We start from the raw sequence: 26,629 nt of genomic DNA, 5'->3' as shown, positions 1-26,629 counted from the left end.
TCAGTCTAAGCATCCATCAGTGGTTGAATGAATAAAGAGAATATGGTATATATACATAGGGAATACCATTCAGCCTTAAGAAGAAGAAAATCTTGTCATTTGCAACATGGATGAACCCACAGGACATTATGCTAAGTGAAATAAGCCAGGCATAGAAAGACAAATACTACATGATCTCACTTACATGTGTAATCTAAAAAAGTCAAACTCTTAGAAGCAGAGAGTAAAAGAGTGGTTACTATGGAGAAGGTGAGGTTTAGAGAAATGATGATCAAATAATATAAAATTTTTGTTGAATGGGAGGAATGACTTCAAGAGCCCTAGTGTCCAACATGGGGACTATTGTTAATGTATTGCATACTTGAAAAAAAATTTAAGTAAAAATGCTACTTGCTTGGAAAAAAACAAAGGGTTAGATGGCATTTAGCACATTTAATTCACAAAGCAGGGAAATAATGTGATGCATTTGAGAAAACTTCCCATCACAAATGCTTACAATAAAAGGGTTCAGTGCTTAAATGTTAAACTTCAGTAGTCTGGAAAATGTAATTACACTGATGCCTCATCTCCTGAAACTGATCAGTGAGGCGTGACTGGATGTGATAAAGGTAAAAAAGATGTAAGGATAACAGATTTCATTTTTTCTTTTAAGTTTTATTTTCTTTTGTATTGACATATTTATATATATTTATGGAATAAGGTATGGTGTTTCAACACATGTATACATTGTATAATCAAGTCAGGGTGAGTAGCACTGTTCATATTAAGCAAGTTTCTGTTTAGTTTGATCATTTCAACATTTGGCGTGATGTGCCCTGTGCCTGCTTTTTTAAAACTGAGATCAGGTAATAACGTATTTGCTGCCACCTGAATGCACAAGCAAGTCAGGAGGCTGATGCCCCCTCAGAGCAGAGCAAGGTAATGCTGCTTTCCACATGTCACTTTTATGGTCTATTATGTGTTTTTGTATTTTTTTATATAAATATGCTTTGCATAGAGTTACAAATAAAAGTAATGAATAGCTATGTAAATACAGAGAGACAGTTCCCTATATATTTACATATTTTGGGTAACCTATGTTAAAATCCCCAAGGCCTCAGATTGTCTTTGCAATAACAGCCCCTCATCTAGGAAAGGAAGAGCTAAGTTTTAGAATCTTCTTGACAATCTTGGGTTTGTTTCTAGATTTTTCTACTTGGTAGCACTTTACAGCCATTTCTAGCAAAGAAGCACACTTTATCTTTCTCCAGATTGAAATGTTTTTTCTTTTCTGTTGAGGTAGGTGACACCACAACTGATTGGTTATCAAGGGCCATTTGAGGAAGACATGCTACTTAAGCAAAACCATCTTGAAGGCACCACAAAGAATGGTTTTAAGGAGCAGCTTAAGTGGAGTAAATCAAATTCAAGGTCACTCATTACTCAAGCTCTCCCTAACACTGCTGAGCTGGAAAGCAAATTATCTGAGTCACCATAATCTGAGGTGTTTTTTATGTTACATTTTGCTATCTCTCTGTTTTTGCAACAACAAAGTTCTAAGTTGATCTCAAATAAATTACAGTTTTATATAACAAGGGAATCTGTGTTAACATAAATGATGGAAATCACTTCTTCCTACAGAGAAGAGAAGGAGTATGAGGGAACTAACATTTTTTGCATCCTGACCATGCCCCAGACTCTGGGCTCACTAGGTAAGTGTGCCGTCTCATTTAATTTCACTAGAGCATATCATTATTCTTTTTTTTTTTTTTTTTTTTTTTTTTTTTTTTTGAGACGGAGTCTTGCTCTGTCACCTAGGCTGGAGTGCAGTGGCAATCTTGGATCACTGCAACCTCCTCCTCCCGGATTCAAACAATCCTCCTGCCTCAGCCTCTCGAGTAGCTGGGATTACAAGCATGCACCACCATGCCCAGCTAATTTTTGTATTTTTAGTAGAGGTGGGGTTTTGCCATTTTGGCCAGGCTAGTCTCGAACTCCTGGCCTCCAGTGATCCTCCCACCTCAGCCTCCCAAAGTGCTGGGATTATAGGCATGAGCCACCACACCAGACCACATTATTTCTATTTTTAAATGGGGAAGCGAGCCTCAGAGACATCACACAAATCAAATGTTAGGATATACCAAAAACCTCCAAAATTTCTGTGCTTTTTCCTAAAAAGCATGCTGACTATCTAGTACCCTATCCTACTGCTATTGTTAATATTCACCTGACATAAAACTCAAGAACAGCACTGTGGCTGCAGTAGAGTCAGGGTAATCCAGGATGTAAGGAGCCTGTCTCTTCTCCCCAGGTGCTCTCTACTTCTGCATAGTGAGGTTATTCAGGCCGAGCCTCCCTTGGGGCTGAGCCACCACCTGTACAATTCCTATCTTAATAACAGCAGCTTAGTGCCTAAACCTTGGAAAGGAACAATCCTGTCAGGCTAAATCAGAAAGTCGCATGCCAATTTATAATTAATTTTGTGAGATATTCCAGGACAAAGACTGTGAAAAGGTTTTTGCATGTCTTTTATGATAACTAGTTTCACTGAATAGACTATTTCATAGCCCAGAAAGTCCCTGTGTGTCCAAAGAATCAGAAATAGAAAATGTGGCACCACTAAAGGATAGTTTCTACTTCACAGATTATGATGTGATCTCCTGATGATTTTTCCAATCTGGAGAACCAGAAATGATTGCTTATACTCAGAGCTCCATCTCATAGATAGTGCTATAGAAAGAAAATTCCTATTCTCTCGACTCTTCTTTTTTTTCACCCTTTGGTAACATCCAACCCCTAAGTACCTGTGTCCTGTGTACCTGTTTGGTCTGTGAATTTTGAGTTTTAAGTATTCCACCCTGAAAAGTGCAAAACCCCTTCTAAACTGGAGCAGAAGAATTTGGCTTCATTATACTTTTAAAGTAGGCTTTGTAAAACCCTTTCTTGCTTCCCGCTCAGAATGGCATTTTAGAATATGGATATCTCACACTGAAAAACCTAGACATCTGTATGACCCTTTTAGTGAAAAATCCACCCACTGACCCCTGGCATGGTTTCAACAGTTCAGAAGCCTTTTTCTAGCACTTCTTAAACTAAATTCAACTTAACCTAACTAGTGACTTTGCATGTTTGTGTGTGTAGATGACAGAGGTCAAGAGGAACCAACTTAAGAACCGTGGTCACCTTTTATAAATGAAAGCATTATTGCTGCCGCAAGAACCTGACAACATTTTGTGATGTGATGCTGTTAATACTATAAGCCTGAAAAGAGTGGGGACTGTCTTGACACTTAGATTCACTTCCTGGGAAGAGAAAACAGATTCTGATTTAATTATCTTATGGCTGTCTATATTTGGCTATTTTAGAGATGAGACTACTTTTATCATAACAAGAGATTGTTTCAAATCAAAGTAACTGTTTTTTAAAAATACCTTCAATATATTCACTTGGCTTTTAAAAATGTCAGTTTGAAGAATCCCTTAGCAGTCATGTAAAACAATTTTATATATGTGTATATATGATATTTATAAATTGTATATATATGGCTTGAATTATTTTCAAAACTTAGTAATTATCAGCAGAAAATAGAACTCAGATGGAAAACAGTAACCTTAGAAGGCAGAGATCTAAACTCTGGAAACTTACAATATGTTTGTTCTGTTAAAAATGACAATGTTATTGTCCAAAAATAAAATGAAAAGGGCCTTTAGAGTCAGAAAACCAGGACTTGGATCAATTGCATGACCGTGGGCCAATCACTTTACCACCCTGAAGAACTGTTGCCTCATTGGAAAAATGGTTATACAGGTTGAGTGTCCCTTATCTGAGATGCTTGGGTCTATAAGTGCTTCAGATTTCAGATTTTTTTGGGTTTTGGAATATTTGCATTCCACTTACCAGATCAGCATCCCAAATCTGAAAATCCAAAATCTGAAAATTTTTGAGTACTGATGTGACACTCAAAAAAAAAATGCTCATTGGAGTATTTTGGATTTCAGATTTTTGGATTTGGGATACTCAACCTGTAATAGCAGTACTCACCTCTTTGAGTTCTTGTATGTTTCAAATGAGCCGTGGGTATGAAATACTCAGTGTAGAGTGCACACACATGACCTTGGACAGGGTCACTCCACCTATGCACACTCAAGGCCTCACACACTCTTTTTTATTTCCTCTACTTGTCTTTCCGCTGCTAAATCCCTAGAACCTAAAATAGTGCTTGCCACTTTATAAGTGCACAAGAAGTACTTATGGGAGGCAGGAGGACAGAGGGCAGGTAGGTGGGTTCTTGTTTTGTCTGATTTCCCCAGTGTCCGAGTCTCCTGCTCTCTGCCTGGTCCCTTCATATTGATGACTTGGTAGCACTGCCTGCCTAAGAACTTGGTTTCTGTTTCACTCCTGGATTACTGTTTCATGAGTCAACCATCTGGCTCTCGAACACCACAGCTCCCCAGCAAGCCCATCACCTTCCCAGGTAAAGTCCATGCTCCTTAGAAGTCACTCCCACCTCTAAGTCTGGCCAGTGTGCCCTTTGATTAGGCACAGCTATACTATGTAAAGGCAAAGGGTGTCATTATCATCATAGTCAGAAAAAGTGAGGGTTGCAGAAGGTGGTAGTCATTAGTAGTCTTTACCCAATATTTCTCCCCCCTTTCTGGGTACATAAAAGAATTGCACTCCCCTGACCCCTTCTAGACAGATGTGGCCACGTGAGTTGCTTTAATGCCAGCTTGTGAGCACGAACAGACATGTCACTCCGAGCATAAGTGTTAAGAGGGGAATTTGCCACGTCCCCTTTGCCTGTCTTGTTGAACTCGGAAGCCAGTTTCCGTGAAAAAGCATTAGTATCACCATTGTGGGGGTAGCACTCCCTTGATCCAGATCAGGAACATGGGGTTCTTCCCAGCTGTGGTGCTCCCTTCCTGTTTAGGCCTCACCGGGAAAGTGGGGATCCTACGAGGATGGGAGATCAGGGTTCCATTCTCAGAAGCTCCAGACTGAAGTGCAACATGACCTCCAAGTCCTGATACTGAGAATCTTTCTGATGCTAATACTTTGTCTTTGACAAGTCATTCATGTATGATTTAAGAAAAGAGCTGAACAATTAATAAGAGGGATGATATTTGTATATACTATCTCAGAGATTACCAAAGAGAGGAGTTTTAATTTGACTTCCAAAGTTTGAGTTGGAATTTTACACTTCTAAATTAGATTTAATAATTTTTCAAAGCTTTTGAAATAATAGGAAATTTACCAAGACCAGAAACCTCAAGTCAATTACATCGAGATAAATGCCAATGAGAGAGGGGAAGAAAAATACATAAACTTTACAAAAAACAGACACTTTCACACAGAGATACACACACAGACATGTGATCCATATATAAACCTTTTCTACTAAGCAGAATAGAAACCAAAATTTTTTTTATTACATTAATAAATAAAAAGAAAAGAGAAACCAGATTCAATGCTAGGCCATTCCAGTTTTGCTCCAGCCTGTGTCTCCTAAACAGCTTCAGGTGACTTCAGTGGTCTTCCATCTCCTATTTGAAAAGCGTGTTGTTGAACTAGATGACACCTACAGCCATGGAATTCAGAAGCCTATTGTCACTTTAAGGTGAGTGGGAACACATTTTGTTCTAGCAAGAAGACCAATTTAAATTAAACTGGAACATTTTGAAAAAAAATAAGCTTATTGATTCACTTGTGCCTGACTCCTTCAAAACATCTTTTGAGTCAGGTTATGACAAGAGACATAAAAATAAAGTTAATAATAACATTGAATGCAAAAATTAGGTTCCAAGAAAGTACAAGAATGCGAATACACTTGCTGAAAGGGAAAACACAGCTGTGATTACATGGCAAATATGGCTGTAGGTTTCTTGAAAGTCAAAGTCAATGCAATAAAGTTTACCCATGACAGTTGTATAGCTTTTAGGAAAGCCCAAAGTTTTCCTAGTGTTAAAAGCCTTTTAAAAAGACTGTCCATATGGTACATTTTTAAAAAGAAAAGAAAGGAGAAAAAGAAAGAAAACCTAAAGAAAAAAAATAAGCAATGTCTCTGAATAGGCAATTCACAGCAAGAGAAACCTAAATGGGTAGTAAATATTAAAAGATGCCCAAACTCTTTCAAAATTAGGAAAATACTAATTAAATCATTGATAAAGTGTCAGTCTATAATCATCAGATTGACAAAAACTAAAAAGTTGCATAACATCAAATGCTGGCGAAGATATATAGAAATGGAATCCCTGATACCTTGCTGGTGAGAATATAATCTAACAGAGCTATTTGGGAAAATAATCTCACTGAGTTTGCTGACATTTAGTGTGGATACACCCAACAATCCACCAATTCTACTGCTAAGGAAAATACTAATTAAATCATTGATAAAGTGTCAGTCTATAATCATCAGATTGACAAAAACTAAAAAGTTGCATAACATCAAATGCTGGTGAAGATATATAGAAATGGAATCCCTGATACCTTGATGGTGAGAATATAATCTAACAGAGCTATTTGGGAAAATAATCTCACTGAGTTTGCTGACATTTAGTGTGGATACACCCAACAATCCACCAATTCTACTGCTAAATATACCCTCCACAAATCACTCAGGTGCTCAAGAATAAGGTGTGTTCATGTTCATGGCAGAGCTATTACTGTTAGTAGACTTACCAATGTATGAATAGCATGGCATATGATGGAATGTAAAAAGCAATCACTTAGACTTATATGTAGCATCGTGAGTAGATCTTTAAAAACAGGGTTGAATAAGAAAAGTTAGAAGATACTTATGCCACAGTATCATCTATGTAAATTAAGCACAGTGAATGCAAAAATTTTTCACATCTTCTCTGTGTGTGTGTGGTGTGTGTGTGTGTGTAAAAGGTAGAATGGATGAACATATATATTATAAATATTATATATTTCATATATATATAATAAAAGCTGACTATGGTTGGAGGGGGCTGTGAGATTAGAGACAGAAGATAATAGAGAACAAAGTAAAACCAAAGTAAATGAAACAAAATAGAAGCATTCTGTGGATTGACGATAATAAAATATCATGCAGTTCACAATCATCTTAAATTTTCTTATCTAAAGTCTATGTTTAAAAAAGTTTTCTGAACATTTAAAAGTTGAGGAAAAAACAAAATTAAGAACATGTGAACAATACTATAAAAACACCAACTCTGTTTGAGAGCCTTCATGAAAGCTCAGCTTGAGTCTCATACAATGTGAACTTACTGTAGTTTTAAAGGATTAGTCTTTCTCACTAGGGGACAGAAAATGTGATAATACCTCCTTACAGTTACTGCAGTTGAGGACAGAACTCATTCATTTGAGTTCTGTGTTAGTCTGTTCTTGTGTTGCTATAAAGAAATACCTGAGAGGCTGGGCACAGTGGCTCACGCCTGTAATCCCAGCACTTTGGGAGGCTGAGACAGGCAGATCACCTTAGGTCAGGAGTTTGAGACCAGCCTGACCAACACGGGGAATCCCTATCTCTACTAAAAATACAAAAATTAGCCTGGCATGGTGGCCCATACCTGCAATCCCAGCTACTTGGGAGGCTGAAGACAGGAGAATTGCTTGAATCCAGGAGGCGGAGGTTGTAGTGAGCCAAGATCGCGCCATTGCACTCCAGCCTGGGCGACAGAGCAAGTCTCGGTCTAAAAAAAGAAAAAAAGAAAGAAAAAGAAAAGAAAAGAAATACCTGAGACCAGGCAATTTTACAAAGAAGAGGAGTTTAATTCTCTTGAGGTTCTGGAGGCTGTACAAGCATGGCACCAGCATCTGCTTGGCTTCTGGGGAGACCTCAGGGAGCCTTTACTCATGGCAGAAGGTGAAGCAAGAGTAGGCATGTCACATGGCAAAAGCAGGAGCAAGAGAGAAAGAGAGACAGTGGGAGGTACCACACACTTTTAAGCAACCAGATCTCACAAGAAATCACTCACTGTGTTGAGCACAGCCCCAGGCTATGAAGGACTTGCCCTGATGACCCAAGTACCTCCCACCAGGTGTAACTGCTCCATGGATTCTCCTTGCCTGCTGCCTAGACAGAGCCGATTTATCAAGACAGGGGAATTGCAATAAAGAAAGAGTAATTCACGCAGAGCCGCCTGTACAGGAGACTAGAGTTTTATTATTACTCAAATCAGTCTCCCCCAAAACTTGGGGATCGGAGTTTTTAAGGATAATTTGGCAAGTAGGGGCTCAGGAAGTGGGGAGTGCTGATTGCTTGGGTTGGAGATGAAATCGTAAGGCGCCGAAGTGAGTTTTTCTTGCGGTCTACTATTCATGGGTGGGATTGCCGAGCTGGTTGAACCAGTTTACCAGTCTGGGTGGTGTCAGCTGGTCCATCAGAACAGAACACAGGTTGTGCAAAATAACTCAAGCACTGATCTTAGGGTTTACAACAGTAATGTTATTCCCAGGAGCAATCTGGGGAGGTTCAGACTCTTGCAACCAGAGGCCGTATGGCTCCTAACTGTAATTTCTAATCTTGTAACTAGTTTCTTAGTCCTACAAAGGCCGACTGGTCCCCCGTTAAGAAGGGGATTTATTATCATCTTTGTTTCAAAGTTAAACTATGAACTAAATTCCTTCCCAAGCTTAGTTTGGCCTACACCCAGGAATAAACAAGGACAGCTGAGAGGTTAGAAGCAAGATGGAGTTGGTTAGGTCAGGTCTCTTTCACTGTCATAATTTCCTCAGTTATAATTTTTGCTAAGGCAGTTTCACAGGCTCCACCTCCAACACCAAGGATTATGTTTCAACATGAGATTTAGTGGGGACATATATCCAAACTACATCAAGTCCTAATTTATATGAGGTCCTCCTCCCCAGCCCAGGACCTGGCACATAACGGTTACTCAAGAAGTCTGTAGAATGAATGAATTAACATTTTAAAAGCATAGAATTATTATTCATGTAGCTAAACCTTGGGACGATAAACCAAAAATAAAATTCAAAGGCCCCTCACAACCATCTGAATGTACTTCCTCCTCAGCCAGGCGCTCTAAAATTTAACCTGAAAGACTGGTTCAGGCCATGACAGGAAGTCGGGGGTTGGACATGCCTCACAATACCCCTCCAGCATTAACATCAACACAGACCTTAAGTCTGGTGAGAAACATTTACAGTCTATTCTCTCTGAAGCCTGCTACTTGGAGGCTTCATCTGCACGATAAAACCTAGGTCTCCACAACCCCTACCATAACCCAGACATTCCTTTGTATAGATAAAAACTCAACCAGTTGCCAATCAGAATATGTTTAAATCTACATAAAACGTGAGTTGTCCCACCCTTCCAGATCAAACCAATGTAAATCTTACATGTATTGATGGATGTACTATGTCTCCCTGAAATATATAAAATTATATGCCCTTTATAGGTCATAGAATTTGCTCTTGGTGAAATTTCAGGTTTTGGGAGGGAAGGGGGTGTGTGCGTGTGTATGTGTGTGTGTGTGCGCGCACACGCGCGCGCCTATGTGTCTCGTTTCCTAGATTCCTTGGACAGGCATAGCCAGGTACCCTGGTTAAAGATTGATCCTGCAACACAGAAGAAGTATCTACTTAATAATCTAGTTAAATGATATATTCTAATAATTAGAATAAAATATTTAAATCATTAGAACAAAAAAATTCCCCCAAACAACCTGACTATCTTAAGCTACAGAAACAAATCTGTGAAGTGCCAATAAGTTATATTTGCCTTATATGGACAGAATATTCTTCCCCAAAGACATTGAAGAGTTATAAAGGCAAGTCTGGAAAATACACATTTGCATAATGAAAACGAAAAGGACTTTTCATTTTAAGAAGACTCTTTTGCATAAAAAATTATATCTTGTAAGTATATGAAAATGTGTATTTATAAGCTTTTAATCAGATAAATCTTAAGCGACGGAAGTGTTTATAGGTTAAGTGTCAGAATCTATTTTGGTATGAAGACCACTGAGAAAAGAAGATAAAGCATCTTTGAAATTAACCATATAAGCCCCTGGATAAAATAGATTCTAATTTATATAACTTTATAAAGTAAGGGGCATCTTCTAATGCATAATGTCGGGAAAATGTCTTTGTGATTAGACGGCTGGCTGCAAGATGAGCATGCCCAGACACTCAGAGGAAGAGGAATTGGATCATTAGATGGAGCAGAATAGACTGTGCTCAGAAATGACCTTCGCAAGAATTTTAGATGTTGATTACTGTAGTTGAAAGAGCTCCAAGCAGGAAGAGTCATTAATTTTGAAAAAATTCAGTCAATGATGTTTTTCACTTCTTTCAGCTGCTTCACACAGACTAATTATTTCCTTTTTAAAGCCTTGAGTTTTTCTGTCAAATTCTTATGTATAGAATGATAGCCCTTTCCAAGTGAGTGGGGAACCCTCACTTATTGAACCTTGACCCCCCAAATCGGAGTACCTTTTCCATCTTTCCCCTCTACTTTTGCTGTAAAGCTTAAATTCAGAATTCGAATAATTAAATCTAATGACGAAGTCATAATACAGATATCTAGGCTGAAAGTTCTTCTGCTCTGAGTGGTTTATTATTATAATTCTGTATTTGTCTTCAGCCTTATTTAAATCCCTTCTGATGGAGTTTACATCCACTACTGATCATTCTTCCATCCTAATAACCACTCATTTATTCATTCGACAAATATTTGTTAAATGTCCTTTATATGCAGGTTACATGGGAAGTACTCATTCCTAAATATTTTGTTATTTAAACTTGCCGGTTTTAGCGGATGCTGTAGTTGGCGACCCAGATACTCCTTCAGAGCCAAGGTACTCGTTCTGCCAGCTGCTGGAATTGGTGGCACCTGACAGCTCTCAGCTGTATCCCTTCTGGAAAATTGCCTTTGGCCAAAGGGAGCTGCCTCACACGAGGTCATGCTTCCTCCCTGGGCAGCCCACATCCAATGTCTGGCCACTGCGGGGGATACAAAGACTCATCCCCACTGCTTCAGTTTGGGCCAGTTCTGAAGGGCATCCCAGCTCGGGACTCCAGCGTGCCCCTCCCACCCGATCCTTCTTCCTTCACTGCTGTCATAGTGGTTTTGCCCAGAGCACATCCCAGTGGAACTCCCCACAGATCTCCATCTCACAATCAGACCTCCATGGAAGCAAACCTAAGTCAGAGTAAACCACAGCATCACTTGTCATAGCCAATCTTCACAGTCCCTGCTATTTCTATTAATATAATCGTTGTTAGTATCCAGAGAAACAATGGATATTTTGGTTACCAACCTAACTTAAGGCATGTGAGTGATTTTCTGCGTCCAGATTATACTTAAAGAGAGTGATAAGATTAATGCTGTCTGCTAGTATCTTTTGAAAAGCAAACTGAATCATTAACTGGTCCAACCGAATGTTGCCAATTGATGCCTTCTCCATTGACCAACTTTCTGGAAAAAAAAAAAAAGTATAGCACATTAGGCTTTAGGTAGACTTACTGGTAGATTGTTTCACTAATCGGCAAAGCAAACATTGATAACTGGCAAACCATTCACCTGAGAGTCTTTGTTTGTATTATGCAAATGAACTACTTCCTCTTGTCTCCGCTGTATTCTGCTTACTTATAGTGAAGTTTAAGGCTGAGCCAGGAGAGGGCGAGAGCTCCACCCTGGAGGGCCCTTGCAAGATAAACAGCAGTTTCAGCAGGGGCACTCTTTGCTTTATTTGTAACCTATTGCTACATTGGGTTTCCAGAAATTGTTTACTGATGTTTATTTGTTTGGGAGCATTTTTTGGGTATGTGCTTGAGGAAAATGAGTAAAAATCCAATACCTTTTTCTGTGGTAGAAGATTAAAGACTTTCTTTAACTTTTTTGTTAGAAATAATTATTTTATTTATGCTGAACTCCAGGGAAAACAGGATATGAAGTCCCAAACCATTTCTGCTTTCTTTCTGAGTATTCAGTTTATCAAATATTTATTGAGCATCAAATCTGTATGAGGATTTTACACCCTTGGTGTACACGAGTGAACAAAACAGACACAAGCCCTGCCCTGAGTTCTACTTTCTTTGCTCTACTACCCTGAGGGAGAGAGAAGGAGGAGTGAGGGAAGGATGCAGAGATGATGTGCAACATATTTCCAGGTTTTCTGCACAGGCCTGCTTTTAATTATTCTGTCCTGTTCTAAGAACACATAACTCACTTATTTCCTTAGATTATATGGTCACTTTTATTTTGACTACCCAAACGTGATCTTTGGTGTAAATAAGACTGAAAATTCTCACCTCTTATTCATCTGAAAATATTGCTGGGGAGATGAGGGGCTGAAAGGTGAAGGGAGGGAACTAGTATTTATTGAGCCTTTAGTATACTCCACGTGCTTTACATGACATGCATTTAATCTGCACAGTCAATCTGCAAGCTGGATATGACTTTTATCCCTACTTTATGTATGAGAAAACTGAGACTGAGAGGTTGACTAAATCACTTTGCAGAGATCACACAGGAAGTAAGGCACTGACCCTGAACTGAGCTCAGGAGCCCTGCCTTCTCCCTTGCAGTGCTGACTCCGCTGGAGCCTCGCAGGTAGAAGTATCACACTTCTGGTCTACCAAACTTGTCAGCATACCTAGAGCTTGAGAAAGATTTTTTTTAATTCAAGGAACACTTACGCAGGTCTTGAAACCAGTGTGCTTCAAAATGAACTTGAGCAATAGAGCCTCCTGGGCCTAAGAAATTCAGAAGAAAAGTATTCCAAAGATTTGTGTAATGGTTAAGCCTTCCTTCATGATGATAGCCACAAACTTCCCCAAGGGTAATCTGTTGTGGCTCAGATTCTTCTCTAGAAGCTTCTCCCAAAGAATGTACACAAGGTTTTCTGTGTATCCTACCCATCCAGCCACTTCTCTCCCATATATCTTTGAACTGGGAACAATTCCACACTTAAATAGGGAAGTGTGATGAGAAAAGACTGATGATAACAGGTGAGGCCGCTCACCAGCGGCTGCCTTGGTGGTCTGGGAAACTTGTTTTGGAGAAGTTATTTGAACTAGTAATTTATTTATATTAAAAATGAACAACTCTGAAGACCACTGTAGATTTATATTGCTTTTATATTTTAAAATTTTGTGTTCTTTCTCCTATATAAAATTGAAGGCTAAATATCTGTCTCTAGGGAAAAGAAGTTATTCAGTCATACTGGAAAGGAATATGAAAGGGAAGGCTTGAACTGTAGTTAGATACTTAAATCTGCTGATAGCATGTGTTCATTACTCTTCAGTCTTAAAGTTGGAAAATTAATGAATTTTCTGAAGCCAAAGGAAGGAGAACTTTTGTTTTTCATGGGAGAATTAAAATATCAACATCTATACAATATTATTTGTTTACCTTTATATATCTTGATTTGTTCCACAAAGAATTTGGAGTGGCTTGTAAGAATTGTTAGCTCAACAGTGGGATAGATTGATGGATAGAGATATAAATAAAAATTAGTATCATTGTATGATTTTTGTTATAGTGTGCTATGCAATTGTTGACATTAAGCTGATATTCCTAAAAGCCGAAGCAAAGAGGAATACTGTATATTATGTCACTCATATTTTGTCCTGAAAGAATAAAATTCTTCAGTGAAGCAAAGATTTTCCTGACACTTAGGTCTGACAAGGACATTTTTTCTGATATGTCGTAGCCAGTGTTTTTCAATGACATTCTGACAAAAAAAGTGAAGGCAGGTGTCATGGGAAACTTTTTTAAATTTTCCCTAAAAGCAAACAGGATATAATGACCAAGTCCAACTCAATGGAAGCAATGTTCTGGATACATTAGAAAGTGTGTGGTCAACACACACAGCTTGCTAGTAGACTACCTTAATTTCCAGAGTAAGGATACCAAAATCATAGCCCGTGGCCCAGCAGCTTCCTCACCCCAACTTAGGGTGTGTGGATCCATCATAGAACTCTTTTCTGCTTGGACAAAACTAGGCTCAGATCCATTTCAAAACAGTGCTCTTGGTCTTCACTACCAATTGATTAGAGATGGCAAAAACTGAAGCCTATTTTTCATCATGGACAGAACCCTCTAGGGCGTCAATATGCACTTCAAGAGAGAGCACAGGCCTCTGAAGTTATACACACCATTATCTCTGTAAGTCTCTCTAAGTGTTTTTCCAGCGTGGGACTTCAGAGCTTTCAATCCACAGAAGAGTCACCGTCAGGAATGCATTGACCACACATCCTTTAAACACTTTCTCTTTAATATTTCTGTCAAGAGCTTTCACTAAAAGGTGAGCAGCAAACAGTTCAAAGGCATGTTCTCGCAAGAGTCTGGGCCCAGTGTTCTGTGCTGTTAATAAAAGGCAGGGCCATATGAACTAAAAGATGAAAGCACACCATCCACCGACACACTCTTTAGAACTTAGAGCCTCTCCCAGGCTGGCACCTGGCATCCACCTGCACCTGGTGAGGTTGGGGTAGAACCTCTGCAGGACCAATCAAAAATACTTCCGCAGTGTCTACTGGGTGCCAGAAAATGAGGATATGGTGTTGAACAGGTGCTTGTCCAGAATGGCTCTAGTCTAATATTTACACTATAATTAATAACTATTTGGGTCTTTTTGTTTGTATTTATTTTTATTAATATACAACAGTTGTACATATTTTGGGGGGATATGTGATATTTTGATACCTGCATACAATGTGTAATGATCAAATCAGAGTAATTGAGATATTATCACCCCAAACATTTATCTTTTCTTTGTGTTGGGGACATTACAGTTCTTTGCTTCTAGCTACTTTGAAGTGTACAATAAATTTTTGTTAACTGTAATTTCCCTAGTATTCTATCAAATCTAGGACACATTCCTTTTATCTGACTGTACTTTCATACCCCTTGACCAACATCTCTTCACCCCCACAAATCACTATGTTTGTTATTTGCTGTGAAGGATAAGGATGGCTGGACTTGTCCTTAAAAGTTGGCTAAGTAGGCCGAGGCGGGCAGATCACAAGGTCAAGAGATCGAGACCATCTGGCCAACATGGTGAAACCCCGTCTCTACTAAAAATACAGAAATTAGCTGGGTGTGGTGGTGCGCACCTGTAGTCCCAGCTACTCGGGAGGCTGAGGCAGGAGTATCACTTGAACCTGGGAGGTGGAGGTTGCAGTGAGTCGAGATCATGCCACTCCACTCCAGCCTGGGCGACAAGAGTGAGACTCCATCTCAAAAAAAAAAAAAAAAAAGTGGGCTAAGTATCTTCCAAAACACAAATAAAAGAACAAACATGCTCCTGAAATTCTCACCAACTATACCAAGTATACGGTATTGATTTTCATAGTCTCTTACAGATTGATAGTCATCTTATTAGTTTAGGAATAAATAAATATATTGTTTATATTATGAACTGTTCTCTATTTATCTTGCCAGCTTAGGACTATAGAAATATGTTCGTTATGACTGTGGTCATAAAATGGTTTTTTGGTGGAATTCAGAGAATAGATTACTCAATCATCATAAGTAGATTCATTAAAGTTACTTTTAAATATTTAATAGTTACCATCAGATAAATCCACAAATGGACAACTTTTAAGGAATTCAGTGTTTCATAATTTTACGATTGTTAGAAGCATCCTATTGCAATGGGGACAAAAGTGTGTGGTGGCTGTCATCTGGTGCTTTCTATTTCTCCGGAAGTATGAGAAACCTGCACTGAAAAGAAAAAGAAATGTCAGAGAGTTGAGGAGAATGGAGCATATAGAAATTATTATTGTGATTTGTCCTCTTTACACAAAAGCAGAGAAAGCCTCTGACAACTGCCTACATTGACTAATTTAGTGCTTGAAACTTTTAACCACAAACAGATATCCAAAGTGCACTACCCATTTGAAAGGAAGACTGTAGGGTCAGACTGTCTGGATTTGGGTCCAGCTCCTTCACTTACTAACTGTGTGGACCTGGGCACAGATCAGTTTCCTTACCTGTGTGAGGGAAACCCTGTGCCTCAGTTTCCTTATCTCTATATTGAGGTTAGTAATAGTCCTTACCTTAGAGAGGCTTTTTAAATATTAAATGATTGCGTATGTAAATGCTTATAATAGTACCCGGCAAACAATAAGCAAGCATTTGCAATCATGATTTGAGGTACCCCAACAGCACAAGACACACTAGGGCTAAAACGAACATTCAGAATAAATGACCCCAATGGAAACAGAAAGAATTTTTTTAAATAAGAAAACTTTCAGAAACTACAACTTAATATTACTCAATTAGTTTTCACAGAACATTGAAAGGATATTGCAATCACAATAGAAGAATATAAATAGGGCCGGGACCGGTGGCTCACACCTGCAATCCCAGGACTTTGGGAGGACGAGGCAGGAGGATCGCTTGAGCTCAGGAGTTCAAGACCAGCCTGAGCAACATAATGAGACCCCCTGTCTCTATAAAATAAATTCTTTTTAATTAGCTGGCCATGGTGGCGCATGCCTGTGGTCCCAGCTACTCAGGTGGCTGAGGCAGGAGGATCCTTTGACACCATGAGCCAAGATTGCGCCACTGCAGTCCAGCCTGGGTAACAGAGTAAGACCCTGTCTCAAAAAAAAAAAAAAAGAACAGGAGCAATCTGTTAACAAGATAGTCAAAGAAAATTTATAGAATAAAAAGAAAAAGACAAATGTCAAATACATAGACCAGTTTAAAGGACCCACAGCAGACAGCCTGCTGCTCAGCAATACCAGCTTTCTCTTCCTCTTGTGCCACAGCCAGACTGCATTTCCCAGGCCCCCTCTGTAGCTTGGGGATAGCCAGTGGAACCTGAAAAGGAGTATGTCTCATGCCCAGGCCTGGCTGCTGAAACTGTCCACAGTGCCATTCCGTGTTGTGAGGCTGTGGTGCAGTTATACAGTGGCAGATGTTTTTGCAGTGGCTGGGGGAATCTTTGTGTGGAAGTGGCAGAGGGGGGGATGGCAGGTGGGCAAAGGTGTCAGTCTGAACCATCAGTGCTGCTCTGAGGAGCCTGAACTTTGCCTCGGGCCATGGGGATCCACTAAAGTCTGTGCTATGCGTAGACAGGCGTATAACAAGCAGATGTATTAGAACATTCACTAACTAGAATATTCTGAGAATTTCAGAACATTCACTCCCTTGGCTGGGGGAGGACACTGAAGAGGCCAGGAGAGGTGGGCATGGCACTGAGACTGGAAGCAGTTAGGAGGTTTTGGTAATCACCAGGTGGAAAAGGATTGGGCTTGAATTCAAGCAGTGTTAGAGGGATGAAAGGGAGAGATGGATGCCCAAGGACATTGTAGAGTCAACTGTTCTGTTGGGTGTGGGGAGTTGAGATGCCACAATTAGAAATAAATGTGGATACAGGTCTCATCACATTTGGGGATGCATCATGACTTTGGGTGCTTATGCTCATGGCTGTTATTTTCTCTGAGAAGTTAGAAGATTTTTTTTTAATTTGGTTTTGTGTTGTTGTTGTTGTTGTCGTTTGAGACAGGGTCATGTTCACACCACTGAACTCACCCAGGCTGGAGTTCAGTGGTGTGATCCTGGCTCACTGCAGGCTTGACCTCCTAGGCTCAAAGGAACTTCTCACCTCAGCCTCCCAAGTAGCTGGGACTACAGGTGTGCACCACCACATCCAGCTAATTTTTTTATTTTTATTTTTTGGTAGAGACAAGGTTTCACTATGTTGCCCAGGCTGGTCTTGAACTACTGAGCTCAAGCAATCCTCCTGCCTCAGCCTCCCAAAGTGCTGGGATTACAGACATGAGCCACCATGCCCAGCCCAGAGGACTGTTATCAGCACCCTCTCCACCGCCACATTCTATACTCTGTCCATCCCAAACTATTGGTTATTTCATTTATTGCTGCCCCTGTAGGTACTATTGCTCTGTCTGAAATATGCACATCCCCTTGACAATCTAGAAAGTTTCTAAACAGCCTTTTACCTACATCAAGTCTTCTGGGAAGGCTTCTCTCACTTCAGAAAAGCCTGGCTGCACCCCCCTTGAGCCTTTTCTCTCCCACGCCCTCTCCCTTCCGGTGGCACTTATAAAAGCGGGGTCACCATGCTCACGACCTCTTTACAACTAGACAGAGAGCGTCTGATGGCAGGTAAGGATTTTTTTTTTTTTTTTTTTTTTTTGAGGCGGAATCTTGCTCTGTCTCCCAGGCTAGAGTGCAATGACGCCATCTCGGCTCACTACAACCTCCATCTCCTGGGTTCAAGTGGTTCTCCTGCCTCAGCCTCCCGAGTAGCAGGGATTACAGGGGCACATTACCACGACCGGCTAATTTTTGTATTTTTAGTAGAGACGGGATTTCACCATGTTAGTCGGGCTGGTCTCAAACTTCTGACCTCAGGTGATCTACTCGCCTCGGCCTCCCAAAGTGCTGGGATTACAGGTGTGAGCCACTGTGCCTGGCCGGAGGGATTTTTTTTTTTTCATCCTTGTGTTTCCGATGACTAGCCAAGGGCCTATGATAAATAGGTGCTCAGTAGACATTTGATGAATAAGATAATTCATTAATGAGAATAAGGGACAGGAAAAAGATGCGGATCTTGAAGTAGTAGCATCCCCACCTCCATTCTTATGAGAATAGAGGAGCTAACGAGCAACCCTGAAAGGACCAATAGCATTGAAAATTTGATAAATAAAGTTGAAAGCAAAAAATATATACATTCCACACAGTTGTATGATTCCTATGCTTTTTGTTGCCTCAAATGCTTCATTCTCATGATTCTTTATCTTTTTAAATTTTGTTTATTGATTTTTAGACAGAGTCTCACTGTCACTCAGGCTGGAGCGCAGTGACGCGATCATGGCTCACTGCAGCCTTGACCTCTTAGGCTCAAGCATTCCCCCAACCTCAGCCTCCCAAGTAGCTGGGACCACAGGCTTGTGCCACCACACCCGGCTAGTTTTTTAATATTTTTTTGTAGAGACAGAGTCTTCCCATGTTGTTCAGACTGGTCTTGAACTCATACGCTCTAGCAATCCTCCTGCCTTGGCTTCCCAAAGTGCTGGGATTACAGCACTGAGCCACCGCACCCAGCAATCCTGATGATTCTTAATCTGATTTTACTTTTATTTTATTGTGTTGCCTTCTCAGCAAACACTACACTAAACTGTGTAGCAATCAAAGTAACATCAGATTAAGAATCATCTGATTACAAACTTTTATCTCAATGGAATATTTAGAGAAATGGTGTGTAACCCTGTATCATGTCCTGTGGTAGAGTCTGTTACAAGAAAACAAGACAATTGTGCTCCTTGTGGATCACAGATATGCTCAAGTTCTAGAATAGAATTTGCATGATCTTGTAAGTAGTGCAGATCATGACTTGCCCTCTTTACATCTTTAGTCTTTAGAAATTCAGCCAGATATGGGAGTCTAAGAATCCTTCTAACCTTTGGAGCTCTTCTCTTCTCCTCTACCTCCCTGTCCATACATGATCCAGCTCCATCCTGCTACTGTTCCCTTGGTCCGGTGAGGAGACTCATTCACCTAAAGGTTCCCATTCCTGGGAGGGTGGTGGATGCTGTCATTCTTCAGCTTGAAATCACTACTAAACAAACCCATCCCTACCATGGGAACATGAATCCCATTCATGGCATAACTTCCGTTTGTTATTATGCAAATATTTTCTACTTCCAATAGAGTGAGGAGAGGAAGGAAATACAGCAACAAAGGAGGAAGAGAACCCTATCCTGCCATGGGCATGTTATGACAGATCTGTGTCCTCCAGGAGACTTTAAGTTCATTGAGGGAAAGCACCCCACCTTCTTGCTCCTCTCTATCTCCAGTATCTAGGAGAGTACCAGGCACATTCAGCAATATTGCTGGTTGAGTGAATGAGGAAATGATTGAATAAACAAATGTGTAACAGCAAGGCAATGTTTGCTGCTGCTGTGGTGGTTGTCCCAGTATCGGCTGCAATACAGTAGGAAACATGGATCTCAATGAATGCTTTCTGTAGTTAATGCTATTCATACAAGATTAGTGATGCCAGACGGGAAAGCAGCGACCTGATGATCCGCATCCGCTCATTTGCAGATTGGGTCAGAAGTCAAGAGGAGCATGGAGCGCAAGTGGAGTCTAAAGAGACTCGGTGGCGGCCAGGTGCAGTGGCTCACACCTGTAATCCCAGCACTTCGGGAGGCCGAGGCAGGTGGATCACGAGGTCAGGAGATCGAAACCATCCTGGCTAACATGGTGAAACCCCGTTCTACTAAAAATATAAAAAATTAGCCGGGCATGGTGGCGGGCGCCTTGCAGTTCCAGCTACTCCAAAGGCTGAGGCAGGAGAACGGCGTGAACCCGGGAGGCAGAGCTTGCAGTGAGCCGAGATCGCGCCACCGCACTCCAGCCTGGGCGACGGAGCGAGACTCCGTTTCAAAAACAAAGAGAGAGACTCGGTGGCTGTCACTCCCTTCCCACGTCCTGTAGCAAGGCTTCATCAGCAGCAGCATTTCTTCTTCTTCTTCTACCTTTGAATAATCCAGTTCCCATTTTGTGCATTGGTTTAAAAGTCAGAAAAGTAAAAACGAATACAAAAAAGCAACATATTGAGCACTGAACTACCTAAATCAAAAGCATATGGTAGTTGTATAGGAATTGTTATTTTTTTCCCCGTCACTGGTTTTGGTTTTTCTGCCTTTCATTGTATGAGAATAAAACACTTTCACAGAGCAATTGGAAAGTTCAAAATTGCTAGGCATGAAAAATGATTTTCATTTTTAGACAGATGTGATTTCTTCAGAAGCCATTTATATCCAACTGCTGTGCCTGTCTTTGGGAAATTTAACTTAAAAAAAATTGTAGCCTGATACAAGACACGACAGCTTTCTGTACAGAGCCTTTGCTAAGCCTTCCTGCTTGGATTCAAAGATAATAACTATATGGCCTACAAATACCTTGCGAAAATAGGTATTTTTTGTTTAACTATACCTGAAAAAATATAACTAGATGTGCAGTTTTACAAAGAGATGACAAGTTGATGTTTATTTTACGGAAGAGCTGGACATAATAACTTTGTTGTTGTTACTTGGTGTATATGTGTGTGTGAGTGTGTGTGTGTGTGTGTGTGTGTATATATATATATTTATTTATTTACATATAGGGTTTGGTTCTGTTTGGGGCATCAGGCATCCACTGAGGATCTTGGAATGTATCCCCCATGGATAAGGTGGGGGCTACTGTATGTCATAAAGTTCAGTGGAAAAATCCCAGTGGGTGAGGAGTCCAGACAGAGGAAACAGCCCAGCAGGATTTGTTAGTGACTGATTCCAATTTTAAAAAATAGTTTATGTGATAATTAAGCAAATGAATAGTCATATTTTCCAAATGTGGGTTTTTAGCTTGCCATTGACAGAAAAAGAAGCTGCAAAAAGGGGAACCACTCTTACATGCAAAATAATAATAGAAAGAAATCTCAAGATAACCTAAAAATACAGGCAGGTTGAGTTCCTGAGTGAATGCTGACTAGGATCCATAGTGTTTGCACAATAAGTATTTATAAATCCTTGACATAAGTCACCATGGTATGACCGAATAGCAAGCCAATACACACACACACATTTTCCCTTTTGAGAAAACTTTAGGGTTTTATTCTGATGCCTCATAGCAGTAAAATGGTTTTTTGTTTGTTTGTTTGTTTGTTTGAGATGGAGCCTTGTTCTGTCACCCAGGCTGGAGTGCAGTGATGCAATCTCGGCTCACTGCAAACTCTGCCTCCTGGGTTCAAGTGATTCTCCTGCCTCAGCCTCCCGAGTAGCTGGGATTACAGGTGCCAGCCACCACGCCCGGCTAATTTTTGTATTTTTTAGTAGAGACGGGGTTTTGCCATGTTAGCCAGGCTGGTCTTGAACTCCTGACCTCAGGTAATCTGCCGGCCTCTGCCTCCCAAGTGCTAGGATTACAGGCGTGAGCCACTGCACCCGGCCAGCAATGAAATGATTTTAAGAAAGTAATAAAACAGCACGAGGGGAAACGTGGGGGTTGGAACTCAAATGCTCCCTTAAGGGTCACTCACTCTTCAGCCACTCTTCAGACCTTGGCCTTTCAACCCTTCCAGTCAGCACCTCCTGGAGCTGCCCCAGGAGCAAGAAGCCCTGCCTCTGCCCTGGGCTCCAAAGCCCATAATTATTCCCTGGGAGTCTTTTCGAAATATCTGACTATGATGAAGATAATATGTGTCACCAGGGTTATTCTTGTATTGAGTGCTTAGCATGGGCCAGGCGCTACATTGATAGTTTTAACCTTGTTATCCCATTCACTCCTCACTACAGCCCTATTTCTATACAATTACTGTATGTTTCTTATTCAGTTAAACATTGCACTTCATAGAACACTGCATTGTTCCATGAAGTGTCTGGGTGCAGTGGCTCACACCTGTAATCCCAGCACTTTAGTAGGCCGAGGTAGGAGGATAACTTGAGGCCAGGAGTGCAGCATCAGCCTGGGGAACAGAGTGAGAACTTGTATCTACAGAAAAATTTTTTAAATTAGCCAGGTATGGTGGTAGGTCCCTGTAGTCTCAGCTATTTGAGAGGGTGAGGTAGAAGGATCACTTGAACACTGGGGGTCAAGGATGCAGTGAGCTGTGATCGTGCCACTGCACTCCAGCCTGGGCGACAGAGCAATACCCTGTCTCAAAAAAAAAAAAAAAGCCAGGGGTTGGGTGGGGAACAGAGGCACTAATTTTCCCAGGGACACATAACTCAAAAGGGTTGATAAGTTAGGCTGCTTGCGATAACTATGATTAACCCTCCTCCAACTGTGACTGCAAAAATTCAACAGCTGGAGCACTCTTAGAGTGACCTCTGTTCTTATCAAGAAACAAACAACTTTATACTCGTTGGTGAGAACAGAGTGGTAGTTTTCTTGGGGACAAGGAAAAGAGAGTATTAATGAAGAAATGAGAAATGAAATGGTGCTTCCCATGGAGAGAAGAGAATGCTGGAATTTCAAGTGCTTCTTGGACTTTTTCTAAGAGAAAATTGGAACAACTCATTTTCTGTTCTTTCAAACACAGTTTAGCCCTGCTCTGGCCCTAGAAGACAAACAGGATGCAGGGGCTTTGCTAGTCTCCCATAGTTGCTATTTTCCCTGTAATCAAAATGGCAAGAGAAGAATACTTCATAAAATGAAGATGTGGCAAGAACTTACTGTCCATCATTAGGCATTAAAGATGGGGTAAAAGGAACTAATACTTACAGAAAGCTGAGTAGCATTTCTTGGCCTCAGTGTTGTCATGGTCTAGTGAAATGGACTGAGTGGCACAGGAATACCAATGTAATCAGTAAAAGTGAAGTACAAAGAACTAGACACACAGAGGAGTGAACAACTGTCTCTTGTCTGGAAGCCCAAGGAAATCACCATTTAGAGATTACATATGAACCAAGCCCTCTACAAAAGGGTTCCTAGGCATCCGTGTCAAAAACAGACAGATAAAAAAAAATTACCAATACATTTGATGCAGAACCAAGGTTGAGAACTACTGGAAGAGGTTAGAGAGTGAGAAACTGGATTTTGAAGCTGTAGCTTTTAGGCTCCCTGAGACTATGGAGCACTTGATTGCTGTGGGCCAGGTGTGATGGAGAAGGCTCCTATCAGAGCAGCTGCAATAGGGATGGGAAGGAAGAAACTAAAGACACAGGTGCACTTGACAGGAGGGAGAGGATGCAGAAAGGGACCTGCTAAATTGTGAACTCCCGAGGGTGGGCACTAACCTATCTCTCCATCCCAGAGTACCCAGTACGTGACTCACACAACATGCCAACAGAATAGATACTTGTTGAATAAATAATTGAACTGGGTAAATATATTTTAAAAATTAGGAAAACTGGGCAGCTGGGGAATAGAGTATCACCAAAACACAACAAAGAAATTCAGAAGGAAAGATGTTTAGAGGAAAAAAGTGAATTCAGTCTTAGACCTTTTCAGTTTAAGTAATTAGACATAATAATTTGAAGATTCAAACATCTGAGAAGTCTGTCTAATGTGCAAAAGAAGGTCAAGTCATAGGGCGCTCCTAAATTCCTATATTTTGTCACCCCCTCCTATTTCATTTGTATGTGACCAGGAGACTAAAACATGCATTATGCTCCCAACAGGCTAAATCTCTTCTGGGATCCACTGAATGCCACTAGAGGGTCTGCTCGAGAGAATTCCTGATTGAATGACAACGGCGCTAAGAACAGTAAGTCATGGTTGGGAAGCAGTAAGGGAAGAATGGAGCCCAGATATCCTAAATTAAAATATAAAAGGCTAACGTTATTAGGCATGTACATCTAAATTTCAAAGTAAAAGGCCAACATCCCACTACGCCTCCCGAATCCAGCACATTCCACCTTTCCACCTAACACACGCGCGCACACACACACACACACACACACACACACACACACCCTTCCCTCTGAGGCAATTAATGGACCCAAACTGACTTTTTTATGGAACCATAATATAGAAAGAAATGCCTGTGCCGAAAATGTCAATGCACACAATAATTTATCAGAAATCAATGCTCTATTCTATGTCCCCAAGCTCAACACTAACATTGTAACCTCTTAAATGTGCCTTGTTGTCTGCAGCTTGAATTCCTTTGTGGTTTCACATACGTTATTTGGATGAAGGCTGAAACTCTCACACACTGGTTATTATAGACTGTGCAGTTGAAATTAATAGAATAGAGACGCCCTCTGTCTGATGAGTCACTATTTTTCCTCTTCTGACTCATAGTTTTTCTTTTTTGTTTTTTTCACATTATTGATCAGTGAATAGTCTAGTAATCTAATTCATGTGTATTTCAGGGCTAAAAATGGAACACTAACCTTGAATGGGGAAAGCGGCTGAATGATGTTAACATCCCGGTAAAGAACAGGTTAATTCGGAAGGGAAGGGGGAAGAAGGGACTCCCCGGAGAGCAGGAGGAAGGCAGAGGGCCTCGGGGGTAGCTGTTCCCCGAGTGATTAGGTACTTATATCATGTGCTCTGTCATATCCAGGAAACAGGAAAAGAAAAACAATCACTGGGAAAAATATTAATACCATAGAGAGGAGAAATGTGTTTCAATTACCTCAATTCCTATGATCCTTCATTAGTAATGGAAGATACATCATCCACAATAGAGAAAACATAAGTGCCTCAGAAATATAAAGTTGTCTATTTCTCTGAAGTCAAAACGACAACATTTTTGCTTATAGCAGAAATGTCTACTAACTTACAAATGAACCATCTATAACAATTATTTGTTTAATTATATGACCCTCAGTTACTAACGTGCCCTGGACACTGTAGCTTCTGTGGGTTCCTCAGAAATTATCCTGAATATTATAGTCTGTTAAGCTCTTACATCATACACCAGGACTCAAGTCAGACCATCAGTTCTTTGACACTTCTCTGTCTTCAAATCATCTTACCAAATACCTGACCATCTTCCTTCCTTAGAGCCTGAGGCTGCACCAGTCCTGGCATTCATATAGAGCATTAATACACGCACACAGCGCCTTTATTTTTCTGTGCACAAGTGAAGATAAATACACTTATGAAATTAGCAGTTTATGGTCATTTCCAGCATCCACTTGCTGCTCCCTATCTCTTACATCTCCCTTCCCAGCCCCTCTGCCTTCCTGTATTCTCTCCCTCTATTAAAACAGCCACAGATCTGATGTCATCAGTTTTTCTTTGATGGAGACACTTTCACCCCAAATGCCACCTCTTTCAAACTTTCCCATTCAATACCTTTTATCTCTACCTGTAAAATGAAATACTTTGTTTTCTGTTTAGAGTTGAAAGAATTTCTTAGCTAGACTTTAAGCAGGAATAACAACAAATGCTTTCAAGATAAATCTGTTAACTTCCAAAAAAAAAAAAAAAAACAATGATATTAAGCACCTGAAAAAGAAGATGGGTCCAAAAAGAAATTACATCCTTGGGCTCCTGCCTTCTTTTCTCTCTTTTCTCCTATCCCTTAAATCTCAGTCAGTCACTTCCCAGTCCTGTGCCTGAGGATGTCCAGGTGATCTGGACCCATGGCCAATTCCATGGCACCTTCCCTGTCTCTACCAAGAGCAGAGGATCCAACTACAACCCGGAGGAGGCCTGTTAGAACCAACTGGGAAGCTTTTATCAAACTATTGTTTCCTCCCAGTATATTCCCCCCTCATTTTAATATGTTCCCACGAGGGGTCATGGTTCTCTAAGACTTATCCTCTACCACCCTGGTGAAGAATCAGGGCTCAAAGCTTCTTAGGGGAGGAAAGGAAGGAGAGATGTTTGTGACTGTCCTGTAGCCTAGTAATCACACAGGAGCACTTCAGATGGACAATCCACCTTCAACTGGCCTTGTATCAGCATCCAGAACACTCAAGATAGTGGCAACAAAGAGACACGCAGAGACTTTTCACAGACCGGGAAGGGGAGAGAGAGATAGAGACCTGGCAGTGTAGAAAGACATCAATAGATCCCTGAACTGTGCACATATTCTCTGTTGAGGGCTCAAGTATTAACAACATGCATGGACGTCAATATGACCATGCTGATTAAACAATAGTTGACCCCGGAATAATGTGGCGATTAGGGGAACCAGCCCCAAAGGGTCACAATTCTGTTTAATTTTTGACTCTCCAGAAACGAAACTACTAATAATCTACTATTGACTGGAAGCCTTAC

At 40.6% G+C, this 26,629-nt stretch overlaps 1 protein-coding gene and 1 long non-coding RNA gene across 12 annotated transcripts in view, besides 1 other annotated feature; one reads left to right on the top strand and one right to left on the bottom strand.

The window, feature by feature from the left end:
* DLGAP1 (DLG associated protein 1) overlaps window positions 1-26,629 on the top strand; it is a 959,276-nt gene that overhangs the window by 426,034 nt on the left and 506,613 nt on the right. For all 11 annotated transcript variants that reach the window (NM_001398527.1, NM_001398526.1, NM_004746.4 and 8 more), the window contains one exon: window positions 24,073-24,158. The gene's annotated coding sequence lies outside the window, so the exon portion shown is untranslated. The remainder of the gene's footprint in view (window positions 1-24,072; window positions 24,159-26,629) is intronic.
* Window positions 11,102-11,783: an enhancer, noted in NCBI's record as "NANOG-H3K4me1 hESC enhancer chr18:4017491-4018172 (GRCh37/hg19 assembly coordinates)". NCBI's record gives its function as "activates a minimal SCP1, AML or CMV promoter by ChIP-STARR-seq in primed H9 embryonic stem cells {active_cell/tissue: H9 hESC(primed)}" and the evidence as "EXISTENCE:reporter gene assay evidence [ECO:0000049][PMID:30033119]".
* The window catches only part of DLGAP1-AS4 (DLGAP1 antisense RNA 4), a 51,591-nt gene continuing 40,292 nt past the window's right edge, over window positions 15,331-26,629 (bottom strand). The window contains exon 5 of the long non-coding RNA NR_102696.1: window positions 15,331-15,655. This is a non-coding gene — a long non-coding RNA (DLGAP1 antisense RNA 4). The remainder of the gene's footprint in view (window positions 15,656-26,629) is intronic.

Source organism: Homo sapiens, chromosome 18, assembly GCF_000001405.40.
Source record: "Homo sapiens chromosome 18, GRCh38.p14 Primary Assembly".
NCBI classification, from domain to species: domain Eukaryota; kingdom Metazoa; phylum Chordata; class Mammalia; order Primates; family Hominidae; genus Homo; species Homo sapiens.
The sequence above is the reverse complement of the archived record's forward strand: the minus strand, read 5'-3'. Positions and strand labels throughout refer to the sequence as shown.